At 38.4% G+C, this 24156-nt stretch overlaps 1 protein-coding gene across 5 annotated transcripts in view; it reads right to left on the reverse strand.

The window, feature by feature from the left end:
• Nucleotides 1-24156, reverse strand: part of GK5 (glycerol kinase 5) — a 68059-nt gene that overhangs the window by 9766 nt on the left and 34137 nt on the right. For 2 of the 5 annotated variants that reach the window (NM_001039547.3, XM_024453436.2), the window contains 10 exons: nt 20412-20487; nt 19160-19221; nt 18902-18975; nt 18637-18697; nt 15631-15757; nt 14169-14273; nt 10190-10284; nt 5061-5164; nt 4127-4186; nt 3033-3166 (listed from right to left, as the gene is read on the reverse strand). In NM_001039547.3, the coding sequence (NP_001034636.1) occupies nt 3033-3166; nt 4127-4186; nt 5061-5164; nt 10190-10284; nt 14169-14273; nt 15631-15757; nt 18637-18697; nt 18902-18975; nt 19160-19221; nt 20412-20487 (898 nt within the window). Of the gene's footprint in view, nt 1-3032; nt 3167-4126; nt 4187-5060; nt 5165-10189; nt 10314-14168; nt 14274-15630; nt 15758-17418; nt 18502-18636; nt 18698-18901; nt 18976-19159; nt 19222-20411; nt 20488-24156 lie in introns of those variants that run through there. The other 3 variants (NR_033289.2, XM_047447898.1, XM_047447897.1) reach the window with 3 other exon arrangements.

Below are 24156 nucleotides of genomic sequence, written 5' to 3' on the forward strand. Positions count from 1 at the left end.
GAGCCCAGGAGGCGGAGGTTGCAATGACCCGAGATCGCACCACTGCACTCCAGCTTGGGCTACAGAGTGAGACTCCATCTCAAAAAAAAAAAATTTTTAATTAAAAATAAATAAAGGTATTAATGTAGACAAGTTTTTAAAAGAAAAACATAGTTTTCATCAGTATACTATAGTTAGATAAATCTAGTCAGGAAAATAAATGTGTTTCTTAAAATCCTCATTTCCAGAATTTATTGTTTACATTTTAAGACATATATATTTTAAGACATTTTATTAAGTATGTATAGAGCAAATCCAATTTCTGGGTAAATTTATAAAATACAGAGGATATACATAGTCTCACATTTCTGAGACAGAAGCAAATATCTGAAATTAAATATAATGATGTAGATAAAACTCAAGTCACTGTGTTATGTATAAAAATAACCTGCATGTGGGGCTGGGCGCAGAGGCTCACGCCTGTGATCCCAGCACTTTGGGATGCCAAAGCGAGTGGATCACCTGAGGTCAGGAGTTTGACACTAGCCTGGCCAACATGGCGAAACCCCATCTCTACTAAAAATACAAAAATTAGCTGGGCATGGTGGCGGGTGCCTGCAATCCCAGCTACTTGGGAGGCTGAGGCAGGTGAATCGCTTGAACCTGGGAGGAGGAGGTTTCAGTGAGCTGAGATTGCGCCATTGCACTCCAGCCTAGGCAACAGAGGGAGACTCCATCTCAAACAAAACAAAACAAAACAAAACAAAACAAAAACCCTGCATGTGTTTGTTACTTAAAGCATTTTAAATGTTCAAGAGAATCTGACTTATTTAGTCTTATAAGGTGAAAAGTGTAGAAGAATTTGATTAACATAAGTATAAAAATGCTTATGAGACCTTGATATACTATAATTATAGCTTAATTTATTCAATTTGTTTGTTGTTTAAGTATTCGTGATTTACCTTGTTACAGTTCTAAGTTTGCTCAATCAGGCACGTGAAAGTAATAAGAGGAAAATCAAACATACTAAATTTACAGGAGTTGGAATATGAAGGAGTTCAAATTTGCAAATGGGATTGATTAAGGGAAAGTTTATTTTCTTCAACTTCAATCAAACGTTAATCAATGAACAAATGAAAGTAACTTTCAATTTTATTCAAAATTACCAGATTTTTAGTAGAATCAAGTTTAAGCCGAATTTACCAAGATTTTAGGCTTTTTGTAACTTTAATGTACTATTAGCCTAAAACTTTTAAATGTAAAATATCTTATTTTGTACCAAGCATCCCCCAGAAAGAAACACATTAAAATACTCTGAGTATCCTAAGGCATCATCCTGCTTTCTAGGGGGCCCTTTAAATTGACATGCCTACTTTCATTCTTATTCCTCCTCACTGATCTTTTCACTAATTGTCAAAGCGATCTGTTCAAATGCAGATCTTTCTATGGTCCCCACCCCCCCACCCCCGGTTAAAATTCTTTAGTGGCTCTCCAGTGCCTTCAGGATCAGGTCCGAACTCCTCTTTATGAGGAGTCACCACAACTACACCTCTATGTACCTCTCCCACTCCCTTCTTGCTCTCACCATAACAGTACTTCCCATCATTGATGAATGCCTTTGCACAAGTTGCAATAGGGATATTGAGCCAACCATCTCTTACCCTCTCCTCACCTGACTCTCTGCTAGCCCCTTCAAAATTGAACCATATGTGATCTCCTCTGGGAAGCCTAGACCACTTGCTTATTAACACTGTCACTGTTCACTGGCTTTATCAGACAAACTTAATAATCACTTGACTTACCTGTCTCCTCCCACCAGGAATCAGAGACTATGGCTTTTAATCCCTTTATTGCCAGCAGTGATTGTCATGTAGCAGGTGCTCCACAAACGTTGTTCAATAAATAAAAGAATGGAGTGGTTTCTAATGCCATAGGCAAACCTACTGACAAAGTTTCCTCCTTGACCAAACTCCACTCAGGCTCCTCCAAGCTCTTTTCCAACTAGGCCTCAAGGCCTCAACTTTTGGACTTCCATGGTCATCTCTGCATTATCTAATTTGAGCAAGAATACTGCTAAATTAGTGTAGCCCATCCTCAATTTCTGATCAACCTCGATATCTCATCCTCCAGTATCCTCCAGATGATATCTGATCACCCTGGCCTGCCTTCCTGAGAATGTTATTAGGTTGGTTAGCAAGAATTTCCCCTTACCTCAATGTTTCCTCTTAGTAGTTTTCCATCCACTGACTCTCACTCTGCTCTTTGGCTATAATTTCTCACTTTTCCTTATTGTATTCAAAGTTGAGCCTAAATTCTCTCTCCCACCATAAGATCCCACTGAAGTAGTCCCTATACCTATTCTTGATAGTCCTCCAGAATAAAGCCCACCTTACTGTTCTTTTTTTTTTTTTTTTTTTTGAGACAGAGTCTTGCTCTGTCACCCAGGATGGAATGCAGTGGCACCATCTCGGCTCACTGCAACCTTCGCCTTCCCAGGTTCAAGCAATTCTCCTGTCTCAGCCTCCCAAGTAGTTGGGATTACAGGCATGTGCCACCATGCTCAGCTAATTTTTGAACTTTTAGTCCAGAAAGGGTTTTGCCATGTTAGCCAAGCTGGTCTTGAACTCTTGACCTCAGGTGATCCACCCGCTTCAGCCTCCCAAAGTGCTGGGATTACAGGCATGAGCCACTGCACCTGGCTCACCTTATTGTTCTTTAATAAGTGTCACTGAATAATTTTTTTCTTTAACACTATCTATCCAGAAAGTTTACCCAGAGACTGTCTGTTGCTAGAGACTGACGCAGCTGAGAATTAACTGTTCTTGTCTCATACTTCTGACTGAAGGGGTGAGGTGAGGATAGAAGAGGTGCAACCAGACTCACCAACAGAGGAGGTCACAGGATATTTTGTGAGTAATATGCATATGTGTATGGAGTTTAATGGACGCCAAGGCTTTCCAGACTCTCTAGAATTTTGTAATTTGAGAGGAGAAATGCTATCTGTAAGGAAGAGTTTGCAAGAAAACTCTCATTCTTATAAATTTCACACATACCAACAGCAAGGCCAGCTAGAGAAGCTGCACCCAGGCATGACATGTCAATGTCGGCAGGTCTGTCTATATTCTCATTAATCAGGTCTGAAGTCATCTGCATGACAAAACCATTCTTACAAACTCCTCCATCTGCCCTGTGGGGAACAAAATATGTAAGATGAATTACTACAACAAAAGTATCATTCTTTTTCAGTGGGCCACATTTTTTTCCTGAAATCCTTGATTTTATTTTATAAATTTTACTTTTTAATTCTAAAATTAAATCACTTAGCATTAACCTAATGACAGAGAACCTTACTGGGTAATCTTTAAACATTTTCCTTATTTCTGCCACCAATTTTCTCACCTGTCCTTGTTTGTCTTAGGACTAGTTCAAAACAAGCCAGGTATAATAAACTAAGGCAACATAAAAATTCACTTAGATATTACAGAAAAGAAAGTCGAGAAGTTTGATGCTTACATGCCCAAAGGATATACACCCAAAAAAGAGATTTTAAAAATTGATATACTACACATATGGGTGCCAAGATGCACCCAAATTTGATATTGTATTATATTCTCCATAAATCCACAATTAGCTCTCCTTTCCTCTCTGAATTCCTATGACCAAGAATTTTGTTGTAGCTGGGCGCGTTGGCTCACACCTGTAATCCCAGCACTGTGGGAGGCTGAAGAGGGCGGATCACCTGAGGTCAGGAGTTCAATACCACCCTGGCCAACATGGCGAAACCCCATCATTACTAAAAATACAAAAAAATTAGCTGGGCGTGGTGGTGCATGTCTGTAGTCACAACTACTCGGGATAGTGAGGCATGAGAATCACTTGAACCCAGGCAGTAGAGGTTGCAGTGAGCCGAGATCATGCCACTGCACTCCAGCCTGAGTGACACAGCAAGACTCTGTCTCGATAAAAATACAAATTAAAAAAAAAAGAATTTTGTTGTGAAGGAGCTAAGCAGAAATTATTTTTGAAATCCTCAATAATCATAAAGATGAATTATTCAGGATCTAAAAAAGAAATGAGTGGTAGCTCATAGCAGCTACCACTTACTTCTAATTTCTAATTAAGTCTATTAGAAATAAACTTTACATACCGGATTTTTCTTACAGGAATATGAATCTCTTTCTTCATCATCTCATATAACTGTTTGTTTCTAGTTAAAAAACAAGATAACTATTTATAAGAAATTCATATCATAATAATTCACTACTTTATTCTGATCTTGAAAAATACAAACTATAGTTTTATTTATTTGATATTTATAAAATGTACAAAACAAAATATTAAAGAAATAAATTGTGCTAAATGGAAACTGTATAACAGATACTCAAATAAGCAAGAAGCGCAGGTCCTTGTGTTTTTTTTGCCTTCATGTAAGAAGGCATAATTTATATTTTACAACTAAATTTTATCTATTACCATTCTACAAAGAAAAATTTAAAACAAGCATCTATTTAATAGATAGCTATTAAGATGACAAACCATAAGTAAAATCTAATAGAATTCATCAAATATAAAAACAATTACTTTGTAATCACAGAAAATTTTATTTTAAATGTTACAAACATCCCATATTCATGACAGCATCATTCTTAATTTTAATAATTAACACCTGTCTCATAACAAAAAGATTACAGGGAAATATGCAGAAGAATAATTCTGATGACTCAATTTTGGGGTACAACAGAAGCATTATTACTTGGAATTATCTTTCATGAATAAGGATACTAAACCTTTGAAAATCCAAATTTTGAATCTTGCATGCTTAAGAAATTGAATTTTTTAAAAAAATCCTTCAATTTTCAGATATCAAGTCTGAGTGGTGTTGGTACATTAAATATAAGAAAAAATAAGAAAGATACCATGGAAATTAGCAAGAAGAACATATTACATAATATATAGTATCAAATAAGCCAAAAATACAAAGAATTTAATTAAAATTAAGAAATTTTCCATTTAGTAGCAAATTAATGAAAGACATGGCAATATTCTATGGGGAAGGGGAAGTTTAGGGCAGGTTTTCATACCTGAAAGCTATTGACTCCAATATTGCTCGTACAAGATGGTATTTACTGGTAGAAGGCTTCAAACCCATAAAAGAGGCACATGCCCAGGGGTCATTTAATGGAGCCTACAGTAAGAGATAACAAGAATATATTATTATTATTCTAAATTACATCTACGGACTTGAGGAAATACTATACAACAACAACATAGCCACGTTAGAAGAAAATAATGCTATGGTTAAATAATTTTAAAATAAAAGATTATGGTAAATATTGGGATAACTTTTTAACAGCATTTAAGCGATATTGAGTCATAGTTACTGTACTTAGCTTCTGTTTGCATTTATGTCAGAAAGAGGAACTGAAGCATATAGTAACAAATTATTAAATGCTTAGCTTTATAAATGTGGAAAATGAAGAGCAATCACAGCAATCCCCCTTCTCCAGCTATAAAGTTTTTACACTAAAATTGTTTAATATGTAGAATAGCTTTCTACTTTTTACTATGTAGAATAGCTTTCTACAAAAATGTACTTTTTAGTGTCATAACTTAAATCAAATATGTTGTCAGACATTAAAACTATACTCTGGCCAGGTGCAGTGGCTCACACCTGTAATCCTAGCACTCTGGGAGGCCAAGGAGGGAGGATTGCTTCAGCCCAGGAATTCAACACTATCCTGGGCAACAAAGCAAGATACCACCTTTACAAAAAACTTTAAATATTAGCTGGGTGTGATACACACCTGTAGTTACAGCTACTTGGGAGGCTGAGGTGGAAGGATTGCTTGTGCCCAGGGGTTTGAGGCTGCAATGAGCCGTGATCGCGTTACTGCACTCCAGCCTAGGTGACAGAGTGAGACAGGGTCTAAAAAAAAAAAAAAAACACCACTACACTCTTCTCTCTTAGCTTAATAGCCTTACTGCCTAATATCAGAAATAATCCAGCCTAACATGTTCTCAAAAGAGCCAAAATGTTGAGCTGGAAGTATGTATTAATCAGATGAGGTTTCTATTCATCTTTGTATCTCCAGAAATGTAAGGCAATTCTGGGACACAAAGATGAAAAACAGGCCAGGCAGGGTGGCTCACACCTGTAATCCTAGCACTTTGGGAGGCCGACAAAGGTGGACCACTTGAGTCAGGAGTTCGAAACCAGCCTGGCCAACATGGTGAAACCCCGTCTCTACTAAAAATACAAAAAATTAGCCAGACATGGTGGCGGGCGCCTGTAGTCCCAGCTGCTCGGGAGGCTGAGGCAGGAGAATGGCGTGAACCCGGGAGGCGGAGCTTGCAGCGAGCGGAGATGGCGCCACTGCACTCTAGCCTGGGCAACAGAGCAAGACTCCGTCTCAAAACAAAAACAAAAACAAAAACAAAAACAAAAAACATGAAAAACAAAGATCCCTGCTGGAGCTTGCAGTCTCACAGTCTCACAAGGAAACAGACAAGAGTCTCACAAGAGCGCTAACACATCAAAATGGTCATTTCAAGGACATCCAGCGCTGTCAGGAAATTATGATCCTCAGAAAAAGCACCTTCTAGCTTCAGGGTTTTGACACATCATCCCTTTACCTGAAACACCTTCTACCACCCTTTCTCCTAATTAATTCTTACTCCCTTCCAAATCTTGGTTTGGCTTCCTCAGGGAAAACTCTGGACCCCAGAGACTAGATGAGGTCTCTGTTTTTATGGAACCCTGTAACTTCCCATCATACCATGCACCACAGTTTATAATCACATATTCTGCTTGATGGTTTGTTGAAACCCCACCTTCCTCAATACACTATAAGTACCACAGGGTGGAACCTTGTCCGATGTACTCCCAGTGTGTCTCTTGTGCCTAGCACTATATCTGGCTCCCCATGGGAGAACAATACACATTTGGTGAATAAATGAACAAACAATATTTTTCTTAATGACTTAAGAAATTCTATATTACATCTTATCTTTGCTATAGCTATGATTTCCCTCCTACTGAGATTTTATTTTAATTTTTCAAATCTATTAACACCTTCTGGTGATTTTAATTAGTAAAAACGTATATAGTAAATCTGGTTTATATCAGATGGTATAGTATCATAAAACTAAGATTAGTCAGATTTGGCCAGTTCAATTAGTCCCTAGCAATATGCTATGTTTTTTTCCTGCATAAATATGACTTCTTCCAGGATATCACAGAAAATACTGCTTTAACTGGCCTGAAATCTGTTTGGTGCCCTGGGCAAAACTAGTAGTCTCCTGCCCCAGAACACAGACTGCACCATTCAGACATCCTAGTCACTCACAAAACTAGAGATGGCAATCACAGGACTTGCTGGCTTCATCCCCTTCTAAGGAAACTGCTTGAATCCACAGGCCCTGTTAACTAAAGCTGCCATGTTTCATGCTCTAGTCCTAATGCCATCACCACAACTGCAGAGGGTGAGTACAGCTGACTCAGTGTCTGACTGAAACGCAAAAGGACAAGGTGGTCCAATCAGATTCTCTGCCCTGAAAACCAAAACCAGGAAACCCGAAGAAAAAGACCTCATCAATGGGGGAACTGAAGCTAAAAGGATGCATAAGGTAGAGGAAGGTTGTATGTGATATTTCTAAGTTGTGAAGAAGCAAAAAGTGTAAGAAAAATGATGACAATTAAGCAGAAGCTATGGAGGAAGAAAGGACACAGAGCAAAGCTGGTAATGAAAAGAGAAAAGCAGAACAGAGAGAAGCAGGAACCCAAAGACGCTAAGAACTGCTGTCAGTTGCTGACTGCTTTCCAATACCAGTCCTCAAGAGTATGTGGACAAACAGCTTCTCTGTCTATCCTATTACTGCCATCATCACAGTAACTCTAACGTCCAGGTAAATGACCACTGTTTCTTGCCTCTAATACCTATTTCAGTATCCCACTCCCCAAACCACGAGCCCTGCTAGAGGAAAGCCATAATGGTTGCACTAACTGATGCCACCCCCAGTGTATGGCTCCCACCCTTTCTGCCATTCCCTGAAGTGGCTGTCCTAGACTTTCCCATTTTCCTCAAAGCTCACCCAGTACCCCTTTCTCAGTAGATTCCTTTGAGAAAATGAGACTATTAGGGGCCTTCAACATCCAGATCCCAATTATCTAAAGCTGTAAAAATATTCTAAAACTAAAGGCAGTTTCACAGATACATAAACCTTCCTTCCTTTCATGCCCCATCCCTCATTTTCTCTAGTTGTTCACATAGGCAGATTATAGGTGATCTTCCCTCCTATTTTCCAAACAGTTTAGTACTAACACATTATTGCTGTTTGGTTTAACTTTCAATTTCCAGTTAAAGTTTCATTTTACACAGGGAAATACATGACCTACGGTCAACCTACCACCTCTCCCAACTGCCCTCTACTGCCAGTATATGGGCAGGTTGCAATCATGGCAGGACAGGGACATTTTGCTATCAAGAGGAAATTAAAAATCAAACCTGAGATAGTTTTGTCTAAATCTTTTGGGTTTAAAACTTAAAAAAATATACTTTATATTATTATTATTATATAATATATATAATTATTATATTATATTACAGGTATGTGAGGTGATAGAGAAGTCAAAGACAGACTTGCTAAGACAAGGTGACTACTAAGTCCTGTAGCACATTTTTCAGAGAGAAGAAAAGAACCAGTAGTTGCCTAACCAAACCTTACCTTGCTGAGGACAATTATTCATCTAACCTTTTTCCTGAAATCTCAATTAGATAAAAAATTTTCACTTTCTGGACTATGATAGGTGCTATTTAGAGGTTCCCTCACATCATCCTGAAGAGGATGCAATGGAATCAATTCACAAGCTCTCGGTCCTTTAGGATAAAGTACACAAAAATATTACAGGTATTGAAATAATGCTCATTTTAAAATCTAGTTTTGGAAGTATGATATTTTTAAAGATTTAAAACACCCTGACCTAATTTTTTTTTCTACCAGCTTCTATATTATAAACCCAAACTCAAATTTTGGACTTTTGTAACTAATTGCCTGAATATGAGATAAGCAAGAAGAAAGAGAAAGTTGTATTTTTTGAAAGGAAAAAATATTTGGAGGAGGATTAAAAATAGTATGAGCTTTCCCAAAAAAAAGTTTAGTAAACTTTAACTGAAGTATATGATAGACATATAACTTTCATAATAATATACTTGAAAAGTTGTTTTAAAAGTATTTGTAATAATATTCTAAAATTAAAGGTAGTATCAGAGATCTTTCAATTAAATACAAAGTTAAATGTTACAAAATCAAGACTTCTCCTAGGTTCATTTTTTGATTAAGCAAAGTAATCAATACTCCACCACAACAATTAATGAAAGGAGATTTTGATTTTTTTTTTTTTTTTTTTTTTTTGAGACGGACTCTCGCTCTGTCACCCAGGCTGGAGTGCAGTGGCATCTCGGCTCACTGCAACCTCCACCTCCCAGGTTCAAGCAATTCTCCTGCTTCAGCCTCCTGAGTAGCTTGGACTACAGGCACGTGCCACTATGCATGGCTAATTTTTTGCATTTTTAGTAGAGATGGGGTTTCACCTTGTTAGCCAAGATGGTCTCGATCTCCTGACCTTGTGATCCACCCGCCTCGGCCTCCCAAAGTGCTGGGATTATAGGCGTGAGCCACCGCGCCCAGCCAAGATTTTGATTTTTAAAAAAAGTTTAAAACTTACAAATGTACAAGTGCAAAATATACACATACATATACATGTGTGTGCATATGTGTGTGATGTATGTACCTTGACATTATTTATCTTAATTCTCAATGGCTTATTTCCTCTAAGTAAAGAATGCAAATTTACTGATACATTCCCCCCACTGTGAAATGGCTATTTTTGGTCATGATAAAGTAATGCTAAGTCTTATGTAAAAGTTCTATGATAAACCTGCCAACTCTTAGGTTCCACACAGTTCTAAGCAGAAGTCAGCTGAATTCTACCAGCACAAGCCAAGCCAGCAGGGCCACATTCAGGATGCTCTGCTTCCTCATGGAATTCATGCTTGGTCAGAGCATAACTTCTCAGCCCTAAAATCTACCTTTCATCTTAGTTCTGTTCAGTGCTCAAATTTTAAGGTAACAGAATGGTAGATATATAAGTTTGGATGTGGCAGGAGGAGAAAAATATTTGTGATTGCCATTAACTTTAAAAAATACATACCTGTAATCCACTAAAAGATGGAACAAAACAAACTCCTTCAGAATCCTCCAAACTTTTGGCCATTTTTTCAGTCTCAGCAGCATCTGTGAAAAGGTCTGCAAAAACAAACAAACAACAAAAAACCCTAAAACAAAATGAAGAGGTTAGAGAGGCACAAACAGAATTATGTTACATGATAGTATTTACCTGCATCAACATTTATTATGAATATAATGTAAAAGATTGCTCACTTAAAAGGGTCAGCACAAAGACCATTCTGTTCTGGTACTATCTGAATTCTCACACTGCATAGGTTTCCAGGCCCATAGAAGGGAGACAGGAGGTAGAAGGCCCTCTTAGATAGGCTCTGTATGCAGCAGGACTTACGTTTTTTTTCTTTTTTTTTTTTTTTTTTGAGACGGAGTTTCACTCTTGTTGCCCAGGCTGGAGTGCAGTGGCGCAATCTCGGCTCACCGCAACCTCCACCTCCCAGGTTCAAACGATTCTCCTGCCTCAGCCTCCCAAGTAGCTAGGATTACAAGCATGTGCCACCACGCCCAGCTAATTTTGTATTTTTAGTAGAGATGGGGTTTCTCCATGTTGGTCAGGCTGGTCTTGAACTCCTGACCTCAGGTGATTCGCCCGCCTCAGCCTCCCAAAGTGCTGGGAATACAGGCGTGAGCCGCCACACCTGGCTGCTTTTTCCTTTAAAGATATTTGGGCTGTTTAAAAAATCAATTCTATGTAGGATTTTTGGCATTAAAAAATTATCCTCTGAAAGATAAGAGCCATCCTAGGTTTCTGATGAAAGTATCATCTACCTGTAATATAATACCCAAGAAAATTAACTGAAATACTCCATCTAATAAGTTAAATAAGGGGCCAGTAACAGATATATTAAAAGTCAATTTTTAAAAAACAAGCAAACAAAAAAACCAAGACAATTAATTTAGTAAACTTTAACTGAAGTATATGATATACAGACCAGAAAAATGCACAAATCCTAAGTGTATATAGCTAGATGAGTTTTCACAGTGTGAATACATCCAAGTAACTGACACCCAGGTCAAGATACAAATTTCTTTTGTTAAACATCGTACTCGTGAGATTCATTCACACTGTTACATGTAGTTGTACTCCATTCATTCTCACCTCTATATAGTATTCTATTATGTGACTATAGACAATTTATCAATTTATTCTATTAGTGATATACATCTGGGTAGTTCCTAGTGTTTGGCTAATAGAAACAGATCCCAATGAACATTCATGTACATTATTTTTGGTGGACATATGTATACATTTCTGTTTATTAACACAAAGGAATGGAATGGCCAGTTCTAAGGTCTTCACATTTAGAACCAGCTTTAACAGATAACTGCCAAATAGTTTTTCAAAGTGGCTCTACCAATTTAAGGCTCCTGCCAGCGGCAGGCACGAGAGTTCGTCACCTATCTTCCTGCCAATAATTGATATTGTCTATGTTTTTCAATTTAGCTATTTTGGTAGTATTACATGGTGGTTTGATTTTGGATTTCCCTGCTGACTAATAAAGTTAAATACCTTTTCACTGGCCATTTGGATATCCTTGTTTGTAAAGTGACTTCTGAATGAGTATGTAGGACTGAACAGCAAAGATCAGAAGAAAAGACTCAGTCGTAATAAATATTGCTGGCTTTAGAGAGCCTTAATTAAGTTGACTTTATATCATTTTATGATTTGTTATATAACTAAATTAATATACTTAAATTCACTAAAGACATTTAAGGAGCACTTACATTAAAACTCAAGTTAATGAGGATCACTCAATAATAACTACAAATTTTACTCAAAATGACAGTTATCAAATCCGTAAGTTTCATCCATTTGTTCAAAATGTCCAGATAATACATCAAAATATCTCTACCACTTCAAAAACTAATGTTAAAAACACTGGTTTTAAGCCAAGTATGGTGGCGTGCCTGTAATCCCAGCTACTCAGAAGGCAAAGGCAGGAGGATCACTTGAACCCAGGAGTTTGAATCCAGCCTGGGCAACATAGCGAGACTCCTATCTCTTTAAAAAAATTGGTTTTAAAATCTATACTTTTTAATGAATCTTGTCCAAATGTTCAATTTTTACAAGATAAGATGTAGGAAAACATACTAGACAGTTGGTTTGAGGAAAATTGTTGGTAACAGATAAAGAAACAGAAAACAAAGAGAGATTATCTTATTCACATTCCTCACTGTTTGTTTCATTCCTTGCTTGAAGAATTTCTCTAAATAATCTTCCACTTAATCTGTTGTCAAATAAGCTAATTGATAAAAAGTCTTTCAGAGTAAGCACACTCCATTCTCTCTCCCCCACTGAATGTAACTAAGAATCTTGGAGGAATAAATGGAAAAGCCGTCTGGGGACTCCCTGTTTTTATATTTTCTCTGATATTCCTGGCCTAGACTCAGAGGTAGCCTGAAACCCAAGGACTCAGATCTGTACACTGAGTGCAGACATGAAAGAGCTTCAATAGAAGCTCCTTTCTGGTCTGAGCAGTAGGAGACAAGGGTCTCTACAGGACAGAGTGGAGAGATTCTCATTTTTTGTTTTCTTTAGATTTTTTTCATTCTCCCAGGCAATCCTATGGTAGCGGCAATGGCAGCCCAGTAGCACAGGCACATAAAACTGCAAGCTAAGAGTATGGGGGGAAATCCCTGTTGCTTGCTTCTTCCCGTGCGCCCACTCCCCTTGGTCTTGCCTGCCCCTGGCAATCCTGTGGCTGCAGTGACAGCAGACAGAGCAGCAGAGGCAACCAAAACTCAAAGATGAGACGTTAAGAAAATCCCTTTTGCTTTCCCTCTTTCTTTTTTCTTTTTTTTTTTTGAGACGGAGTTTTGCTCTTGTTGCCCAGGCTGGAGTGCAATGGCGTGATCTCGGCTCGCCACAACCTCCACCTCCTGGGTTCAAGTGATTCTCCTGCCTCAGCCTCCAGAGTAGCTGGGATTACAGGCGCACACCACCATGCCCGGCTAATTTTGTATTTTTAGTAAAGACAGGGTTTCTCCATGTTGGTCAGGCTGATCTCGAACTCCCAACCTCAGGTAATCCACGTGCCTCAGCCCCGCAAAGTGCTGGGATTACAGGCGTGAGCCACCGCGCCCAGCCTTCTTTCTCTTTCTTTGTTTCCTTTCTTTCCCTTCTTTCCTTCTCTCTCTCTCTGACCCCCCTTTTCTCCTTCTCTCATCCCTCTTGCCACTAAGCTAGGGAGGTAGAAGTAGTAGCAGCTGTTCAGTAGAGAAACTAAAGCACCAGCTTTCTAGCCAGAACACCAATATGGGGATCCCAAGAGTCAAAAGGTACCAGGGAGATTACTGAGAGAAAGGAGCTCAGGAAAAATTACCTTATAAAGGTTTTTATGAACTCCTAGTCTCACTCTTGAGCAGCACATGTGAAGATATGACCCTAAACAACAAGCTTAAGGCTTTGAGAACTAATCTCCAGGCAAACCACCCCCCAGACTGACCACTGGGTGGCACAAATGAGGGGCGGATCCAAATAGCACTGCAAAAGCACTGAAAACTGAACTGACACTGGAACCACAGCCCAAAATGTGCATTTCTTTAATTATCGTACGTGAACAGCATTTCATTATAGTCATTTGATCGTAAAATACCTGTACTTCGGTCCTTTGCCCATTTTTGTCATGTTATTAATTTTTCTGACATATGCTACAAATTGTTTTTACCAATTTGTCTTTTATTTTGCTTATGGCATATCTCTCCTTACCCACTAATATTTTACATAGTTAAACTTATTATTCTTTTTCTTTATGGTTCCTGTCTTTAAGACCTAGCCTTTTACCATTTCGATATCATAAAAATACTTTATATTTTCTTTTAATAGATGTCATTTTATTTTAGTGTTTCATTTGAACAATCCATTTGCTTCCTACTAATCTGCAATCCTGTGGCATTCTTGAATTCTTTAGGTCTGGCTTGTGAAATCCATTTAAAAGACAACTTACCTAACTGCTGAGCCCATTTTATGGCAGTACCAGTGTCTCCTGCATTGCTTTCAGCTAAGCATACGACTTCTTGCCCAATCTTCCACCCAATTAATGGATAAAAGCCTTGCAAAACAAACAACGAATGTTAAGTCAAATATATGCATAATTCATTATAGAGACTTCTACAATGTAATGATTTGGTTATCTCAAAAAACTGCAAAGTGCCTCTGAAGTCAGACTGTGGACGTTCAAACTCTAGCCCACTTACATTTACTAGCTGTAGTCTTGCAAGTTTCTAACCTTTTAGCCTCAGTTTCCTTAACTACAAAACGGCCTACCTCAGAGAGCTACGAAATGAACAAACTGAATTAACACATAAAAAGAACTTAGCACAGTGCCTGGCACATAATATGAACAATAAATACTAATTTGTATTAGCTATAGGCATGTCTACATCTCTAGAAATATGGCAATAAATATTTTACTTGAGAAATAAAAGGGTACTATGAGATTGGTTTGCTAGAGAACTATGCTATTGTATTTATCTGTGGTTTTCAAACAAGGCTCCTAAATAGAAACAATCTAATAGAATTATCAACATTTTCTAATTCCATCTTCCTAGTTAGGGGAAAAAGAAGAGCTTGAGGAGGGATAAAAGGTAGGAAAAAGGTTTTTTAAGCCACCTCTTAGTAACCATGTTATGGAAACAGAGCCCAAACTAGTATAGTTCTATAATCTAGATTTCTTGGTCTGTAAATCCCAGGATTTGTTCTATTAAAAAGAGCAAATTCTTAGCAATTGTCATTATCCATTGCATTGGTCACTAGCTGAGGACTACCACTCAAAGAAATTCACAAAATAATTTTCTAACAAATAGAAAAAAAAAATTTAGAACCCTAGTAAGAAGATTTTTTTTTTTGGAGACAGAGTCTCACTGCATCACCCAGGCTGGAGTGCAGTGGCGCGATCTTGGCTCACTGCAACCTCTGCCTCCCCGGTTCAAGTGATTCTCCTGCTTCAGCCTCCCAAGTAGCTGGGATTACAGGTGCCGGACACCATGCCCCCAGCTAATTTTTTTGTATTTTTAGTAGAGACGGGGTTTCACCATGTTGGCCAGGCTGGTCTCGAACTCCTGACCTAGGGTGATCTGCCCACCTCAGCCTCCCAAAGTGCTGGGATTACAGGCATGAGCCACCATGCCCGGCCCCTAGTAAGGAGTTTTGAACAAATACAACATGTGTTATAGAAAAATACCCAGAAAGCTGACCATATATCCTGAATTTTTCAACAATATCATTCTTGTTTTTTATGCTTTTCACTTAAAGGGAAAAGAAAGGGAAATGATAATTAACTGTCTTTAAGAATAATAAAATATGTTAGAGAATATCACAAAATGGGAAAATAGTATAAGTATCACAGAAGTTAAATATGAACAGAAGTGATATTTTATTAATAAATAGGATAAATCCTAACTACTTACCTCCAGTAGTCTGTTGAAGGCTATTTCCAGTGTTAATATCCAAAAATGTCCCAGTTCCCATGGTTAATTTCACATCACCTGTCTGGAAGCAGCACTCTCCAAACATGGCTGATTGCTGGTCAGCAACCTACCAAAAATGTTCAAATGTAAACCCATTGCCCTTAACAGTGGCCAATTTTATTATAGAGCATTGTCTCACTTATTGTACTCTCATGATTAAACATCTTCGTTTCTTTTTCCTTTTCCTTAAAATTAAAAAAAAAAATCCCAAAGAGAATAGGGAGCAACAACCATAGGATAGGAGTCTCCCTAGGACTAATACTCTGCAGATAACTGACATGCCTCAGGAATTGTTTTTATTTTGGTTTGTTGTTGTTTTGTTTTGTTTTTTAGAGACAGGGTCTTGCTCTGTCACCCAGGCTAGAGTGCAGTAAGATCACAGCTCACTGCAGCCTCAAACTTCTGGACTCAAGTGATCCTCCCACCTCAGCCTCCCAAGTAGCTAGGACTACAAGGCAGCTAGGACTACAGGCGCACACCACCACATCCAGCTAATTCTTTTTCATTGAGACGGAGTCTTACTCTGTCGCCAGGCTGGAGTGCAGTGGCGTGATCTGGGCTCACTGCAACCTCCACCTCCTGGGTTCATGCCATTCTCCTGCCTCAGCCTCCCAAGTAACTGGGACTACAGATGCGCGCCACCACGCCAAGCTAATTTTTGTATTTTTAGTAGACATGGAGTTTCACCATGTTAGCCAGGTGGTCTCGATCTCTTGATCCACCTGCCCCGGCCTCCCAAAGTGCTGGGATTGCAGGTGTGAGCCACTGCACCTGGCCATTTCTTTAAAAATTTTTTTGTAGAGATGGGGTTTCACTCTATTACCCAGGCTAGTCTCAAACTCCTGGCCTAAAGCGATCCTCTCACATTGGTCTCCCAGAATGTTGGGATTACAAGCATGAACCACCATGCCCGGCCTGCCTTAGGAATTTTTAATGGGTAACCTACTTCACGACTTTTAATTATCTATGAATAATCTTAGAAATGAAGGTAAGAGGCCAGGCGCGGTGACTCACGCCTGTAATCCCAACACTTTGGGAGGCCGAGGTGGGCAAATCACGAGGTCAGGAGATCAAGACCATCCTGGCTAACACGGTGAAACCCCATCTCTACTAAAAAAAATACAAAAAATTAGCCAGGCGTGGTGGCAGGTGCCTGTAGTCCCAGCTACTCGGGAGGCTGAGGCAGGAGAATGGCATGAGCCTGGAAGGCGGAGCTTGCAGTGAGCCGAGATCGCACCACTGCACTCTAGCCTGGGCGACAGAGTGAGACTCTGTCTCAAAAAAAAAAAAAAAAAAAAAAAAAAGAAAATAAGAATAAAAATGATAACCAAAAAAAAACTAAGATTTTTTTCATTTTCAACTAACATTTGTTTCATTCATTAGTCAAAATAACCAACCCTCACAAATTTATTTATTTTATTAAACAATATAAAACATAGGTAAATGTTTTGATATAAATAGATGTAAGTAAAAACCATCTATTTCCCAACCATACATTTTTGTTAAAATAAAAATTGTAACATTTTGTTAATATAGTCAAATGTAGATATACAAACAGCAACATTTTAAGGATCAAAACTCATCTAAAGGCTGGGCCTGCTGGCTCATGCCTATAATTCCAGCACTTTGGGAGACCTGAGGTCAGAAGTTCAAGACCAGCCTGGCCAACATCGTGAAACCCCATCTCTAGGAAAAATACAAAAATTAGTCAAGCATGGTGGTGCACACCTATAGTCCTAGCTACTCAGGAGGCTGAGGCAGAAGAGTCACTTGAACCCGAGAGGCGGAGGTCACAGTGAGCCATCGGTGAGATCATGCCATTGCACTCCAGTCTGGGAGACAAGAGTGAAACTCCATCTCAAAAACAACAACAACAACAACAACTCATTTAAAGAACCCTCTGTCACTAATTGGTAACTCTTCCAGCCATACCTTAATCTAACCCTGCACCTATGCCTAGATTGAATAAGACCGATCCTCTCTAAATGATAATGATTTTGTAACTTGGAAATTAAATTCCCTTTCCCTCAGCTGCTCCCCCAGCTACTGTGGAGACTGCACATCTTGCAACAGGTGGTCTCTACCTCCTGCTTAAGCTGCCACAGGAAATCAAAGGCAATGTGAAAGGACTCTTAAAAATCAAAAACAGGCTTGGCACAGTGACTCATGCCTGTAGTCCCAGCACTTTGGGAGGCAAAGGTGGCAGAAGGCCCCAGTCTAGGAGTTCGAGATCAGCCAGGGGAACACAGCAAAATCCTATGTCTACCAAAAATACAAAAAATTAGCCAGGTGTCGTGGCACACACCTGTGGTCTTGGCTACTTGGGAGGCTGGGGTGGAAGAATCACCTGAGCCCAGGAAGCCGAGGCTGCAGTGAGGCATGATTATACCACTGCACTCCAGCCTGAGTGACAGAGTGAGACCCTGTCTCAAAAAAAAAAAAAAAAATCAAAAATGGCAAATATTTCATTATTCTACAAACTTATTTACTGGTAGATGATGGCTAAGGACTTTATTAAATGTACATACAACTTTCTCTGCTAGTTTAAGTTGCCCTAACACTGTTTGTGGTTACACATTATCAAACAGAACATAAATATTCGCCCCATCACTGTGTTTTGTCTCAGAGTACCAAATGTAAACTAAATACCACTCAGAATTAAAAAAAATTTTTTTTAATTTAAGTTTTCTGATAAACAATATACAAGCAAGTCAGAAAAGGTTATAAAGTACTTCCATGATAGAATACTGGCTCAATGGTCCCCTTCCCAAAAATATAGCAGATATTCTGGTCATATCCAGGGACCTTTAACTTAAAAAGAAAAAAAAATACTTTAATCTTACTCTGCCAAAGACCTTCTGTTTCTCTTAAAGCTAGTCTCAATTATTAATACATATTACTTTAGTTTATACTATACAAAGGGAATCCCTCAAGTTTCCTACTTACCAAGGCAACTATTGGTATAGGCACACCAAATATCTCTTCATCCACTGATCCAAAATTGTGGCTTCAAATAAAATTCATTAAAAAGTTAGTTACAGCTCTAGAAATATTAGTTTTAAAACTCAGCAAATTGTTTTTTTGCATAAGCCAAAAAGTTACATAATGAACATACAAGTCCTTCAAACATGTAATAAAATGCTTTTCCCCACGAAACAAAATGAATTCAAGAACCATTGTGCTGGTTACTATGTCTGATGTTTATTATTACCTTGTGTCCCTCACAGGAGGTAGGAGAGAAAGTGGTATCGAAATTAGAGAGGTAATCATCCCACTCCAACACATCTGAGCATAAAAACGTATCATCAGAATATACATATTTACATATATCAAACCTCTAAACATATATCAAAACATCATGTTGTACATGATATATTTGTCAATTAAAAATAAACTAATTTTAAAAATTTAAATCTATCTATATTACACAAAAATGTGTGATTCAAAAAGAAGAAAAAAAAATTTTTACCTTATATGGGTCAAAAAGTCCAGTTGTACTAGCATTTGAAAAATCTGTGGCATATACAGAACCTAAATTTAAATAGGAAATAATACATTTATTATCAGATAGTATAAATCAACACCTATCGATAGTATATAATATAGACCTTTGTCTACCCTCAAATTCATTCCAAAATGTGTATTTTCTTTTTTTTTTTTTTTTTTTGAGACGGAGTTTCACTCGTTGCCCAGGCTAGAGTGCAATGGCACGATCTTGGCTCACCGCAACCTCTGCCTCCCGGGTTCAAGTGATTCTCCTGCCTCAGCCTCCCGAGTAGCTGGGATTAGAGGCATGTGCCACCACACCCAGCTAATTTGATATTTTTTAGTAGAGACGGGGTTTCTCCATGTTGGTCAGGCTGGTCTCGAACTCCCAACCTCAAGTGATCCGCCCGCCTCAGCCTCCCAAAGTACTGGGATTACAGACGTAAACCACCGCACCTGGCCCAAAATGTGTATTTTCAATGTGAAGTCTCCAAAAGCAATTTCCCACTTAATATTTATGAACTTTTATAGTTGTGCAAAAGTACTTACATACATGTTGTCACTTTACGATCCCCCAGTTTAAAGATGACAAAGAGGCTCAAAGATGTTAATGTCACCCATAGTTATACCCACTAGCAAAATGGCAGATTTGTTACTGAACTTGTCTTATCATTCTTGAAATTAAGACTGTTCCCCAGTCTTATATTGAAGTTTCATCACAATTTATTTAAAAATTGTCCTCCTCTTATAATAAATCTAGAATAAGTCTAGCTTTACTAGAACATGTTGTTAATAGGGTACCAAAGAGCAGTATGTCTGGAGTACAGGAAGGGGGAAAAAAAAAAAAACTTCTGACCAGGTGCAGTGGCTTACGCCTGTAATCCCAGCACTTTGGGAGGCTGAGGCAGATGGATTGCTTGAGTCCAGGAGTTCAAGACCAGCGTGGGCAACATGGCAAAACCCTGTCTCTACTAAAAATACAAAAAATTAGCCAGACATGGTGGCACATACCAATAGTCCCAGCCACTCAGGGGGCTGAAGCGGGAGGATCGCTTGAGCCCAGGAAGCTGAGGCTGCAGTGAGCCATGATTACACCATTGCACTCCCGCCTGGTTGACAGAGCGAGACCCTAGCTCAAAAAAAAAAAAAAAAAGTAACTTCTACTTTTTTTAGGCAAATCATTTCTCTTGATCAAATTTCGGTTATTTAAAATAGATCTTTCAGGTCATCTTTACCTTTTGTGAGCTTATATAACAACCAGGTATCAATAGTCCCAAAGCAGCAATTTTCTTCTTCAACTGCCTTTTGCACCTTGAAAACACAACAGCACAAAATCGATTCAAAAAGGCTAAATTACTAAGTGCATGATTAAATGCAGATCAGTGATACAATATAAACCCATTTTTATAAAAATTAATATGTACACAAAAACATTTCTAGAATATATTCCAAATGGTTCTAAGTGATTATTATATAGGGCATGAGATCTAGCCAGGGGAGAGAGGGAAGATTTTCATTTTCTGTATAATATTTCTGAAAGGTTTTAGTTGTATACCAAGCATGCGTTAGTTACTTTTGTGTTTTTTGTTGTTTTTTTTTTAAAAAAAACAAAGTATATACATTTTTAGTTTAAACATACACTAGTCGGCTGGGTGCGTTGGCTCACGCCTGTAATCCCAGTACTTTGGGAGGCCGAAGCAGGTGGATCACCTAAGGTCAGGAGTTCAAGACCAGCCTAGCCAACATGGTGAAACCCCATCTCTACTAAAAATGCAAAAAATGGCCAGGCACGGTGGCTCACACCTGTAATCCCAGCACTTTGGGAGGCCGAGGCGGGCGGATCATGAGGTCAGGAGATTGAGACCATTCTGGCTAACATGGTGAAACCCTGTCTCTACTAAAATATACAAAAAAAAATTAGCTGGGCATGGTGGCGGGCACCTGTAGTCCCGCTACTTGGGAGGCTGAGGCAGGAGAATGGCGTGAAGCTGGGAGGTGGAGCTTGCAGTGAGCCGAGACTGCACTCCAGCCTGGGTGGCAGAGCGAGACTCCGTCTCAAAAACAAAACAAAACAAAAAAAAGCCCAAAGCTGGGATGGCATACTATGGCCCACAGGCCAAATCCAGCCTACTCTCTGTTTTTGTACAGCAAATTAAAAATGGTTTTCATAATTTTTAATGGTTAAAAAGACAAAAGGAGAATATTTTGTGACACATGAAAATTATATGAAACTCAAATTTCAGTGTCCATAAGTAAAGTCTTATTGGAACACAGCTATGCTCATTTGTTGCCTACGGCTGCTTTCATGGCAGAGTGGTTGTGACAAAAAGCTTATACCCCCAAAGCCTAAAATATTATTAACAGGCCGATTCTTGGCATAAAGCATGCCAAGAGAAACAGAAGTTGTCAACACCTCTGTAAACTATAATAGCTAGCAGAGAAACTGAAATGCCTGTTAGGGTGTTATTAACATACTGAAAAACAATTTCTTGAAACAAAGTTTATCACCTCTATAACTCTTATTTGTCCTTCAAGACCAGCATTTCCTGGCTTTGTCCAAGCCTGCCCCACTCCCACACTCCTTCTAACTCAGTCTGTAGCATTCTATAGATAGCTTCCATTTAGCCATTATCTCACACCATTACTGCCTCTCTACTAGACCCTTAGCTCTTTAAGGGCAGGGACAAGATTGCATTTATATTCATATCCCCAACACCTAGGGAGGTTCCCAGCAAATAGCAGATGTTCCAAAAAATACTTAAGTAAGTAAATAACTGAAATAAAAAGAAAAGCAAATGGAAACATTTAAAGATAAATTATACTTTAATAGTAGAAAGGATCAGTAAAATGAAAACAAATGACATGAGTTCCAAAAACGAGGTCATTTGTAGGTTATTTATAATACAAGTACTTTAAGATTCCATTCAAGAGTTATGCCACTTAAATATGGAGCGCCTTCAAGTATTCTTATATTTCAAACTCTTGTTAAATTTAGAAATTTTTATTCTAAAATTTGTTCCAGATACAACTTTTTTTAATAGCCAAAAGTTAACCTGTATTTCAGTGAGTAGCACAATGCCTGACAGGTGGTAAATTCATCCATCTATTAAAAAAATATTTATGAGTCAGGGCCTCTGATAGGTGCTAGGCCCTTAGGAGGCTAGGGTGACACAGAGTAGACATCAGGGCTTCCTAAGGTAGGAGGACCTAGGTCAACCCCCCTCACGTTGGCTAAGGACTGCAAATGGCTCTACCCTAAGAGTAGGAGTAAACTAGGACCGGCTCTCATAGGAACTACAAGTCAGATTTGAATCATCTCAATTATTAAGTTGGATTGAGATAATCCTGTTAACTGGAAGAATGGAAGAAACAAACATAAATCTTATCTAGAGCAAGACAGCATTATGTTAAGGCTCTCAAATTCTACACAGAATTTTACAAATATAATATCAAGGTCACATATATACACATATATACAAATAAGTAACCAGGCATATGAAGAAACAATAACATGGAAGAAAAACAAAAACAGGAAAAAAAGACAGTCCACAGTCCATGGGAGCTACAGATGATGGAATTCACAGTCGTGGACTTTAAAATAAACATGCTAATTATATGGGAAAAAATAAAAATTATAGAACTAAAATATTAAGAACTTGATGGGTTTTAATAGCACATTAGAAACAATTGAAGAGTGAATAATAGATTGGAAGACAGGTTGGAATAGACTGGGTAGAATGAAGCACAGAGAGACAAAAGGATGGAAAATATGTAAGATAGGGTTAGATATACAGGGGATTCAGTGAGAAGGTCTAAACTTAAAAATGTACAAGAGGGGACTCCAATTTCCCGTCTGATAGGTAAAGAGCTTGGAAGTCATTACTTACATCCTCACAAAAAAAAAGTTGAGCAAACTGAAAATCAACAACTCTCCTTAGATCCATAGAGAATTGAGGTCCTAGGGCAATGGCCCATATTTGGGCTTTCAGAAAAAAAGATAAGGAGAATGGAGCAGAAATTACATTTGAAGAGATAACACCTGAGCATTTTTCAAAATCAACGAAGACCTCAAGCAACAAATTCAAAAAGCCCTACAAACCCCAAGTAGCTTGCATAAAACACACTAAACCTAGATAATAAGCACAGAAAATATGTTTGATAAATTCAATAACCATTCATAATAAAAAGTGTCAGCAAACTTAGCAAAGAAAGGGAACTTCCTTAATTTGATAAAGTACAAAGGATAGCACCCCAAAGCCAAATTCATACTAAGTAAAGAAATGTTGAAAGCCTTTGGTCCAAGATCAGAAACAAGAAAAAGAATTAATGATCCCTCCTTCTAATCAACATATCCTGGAGGTCCTTGCCAATGAAAAAGAAAAAAAGTGTTAAACCAGCAGAAAAAAAATCTAGTCATTTGCAAAAGACATAACTGTATACACAGAAACATCCTTTGCAAAAAAAGCTATTAGATAAGTTACTAGAATAACTAAGTGAATTCAGTAACATTACTGGATTAAAGGTCAATTCACAAAAAGTAACTATATTTCTAAAGACCAGCCAAAAAGAAGTATAAATAATTTTTTTTTTTTGAGACAGAGTCTGGCCATGTCACCCAGGCTGGAGTACAGTGGTGCAGTCTCAGCTCTCTGCAACCTCCACCTCCCCGGTTCAAAAGATTCTTCTGCCTCAGCCTCCCAAGTAGCTGGGACTACAGGTGCGTGGTAATTTTTGTATTTTTAGTAGAGACAGGGTTTCACCATATTGGCCAGACTGGTCTTGAACTCCTGACCTCGTGATCCGCCCACCTCGGCCTCCCAAAGTGCTGGGATTACAGGCATGAGCCACTGCGCCCGGCAAGAAGTATAATAATTTAAAGGACTAGTTAAAATAGCTACAAAAGATATCAATTGCCTAACAATAAGTCTACACATTAAAAAAAAACTTTAAGTGGGGCTAGGTGCGATAGCTCACACCTGT

The sequence above is a fragment of the Homo sapiens genome, chromosome 3 (genome assembly GCF_000001405.40).
Source record: "Homo sapiens chromosome 3, GRCh38.p14 Primary Assembly".
Classification (NCBI taxonomy): domain Eukaryota; kingdom Metazoa; phylum Chordata; class Mammalia; order Primates; family Hominidae; genus Homo; species Homo sapiens.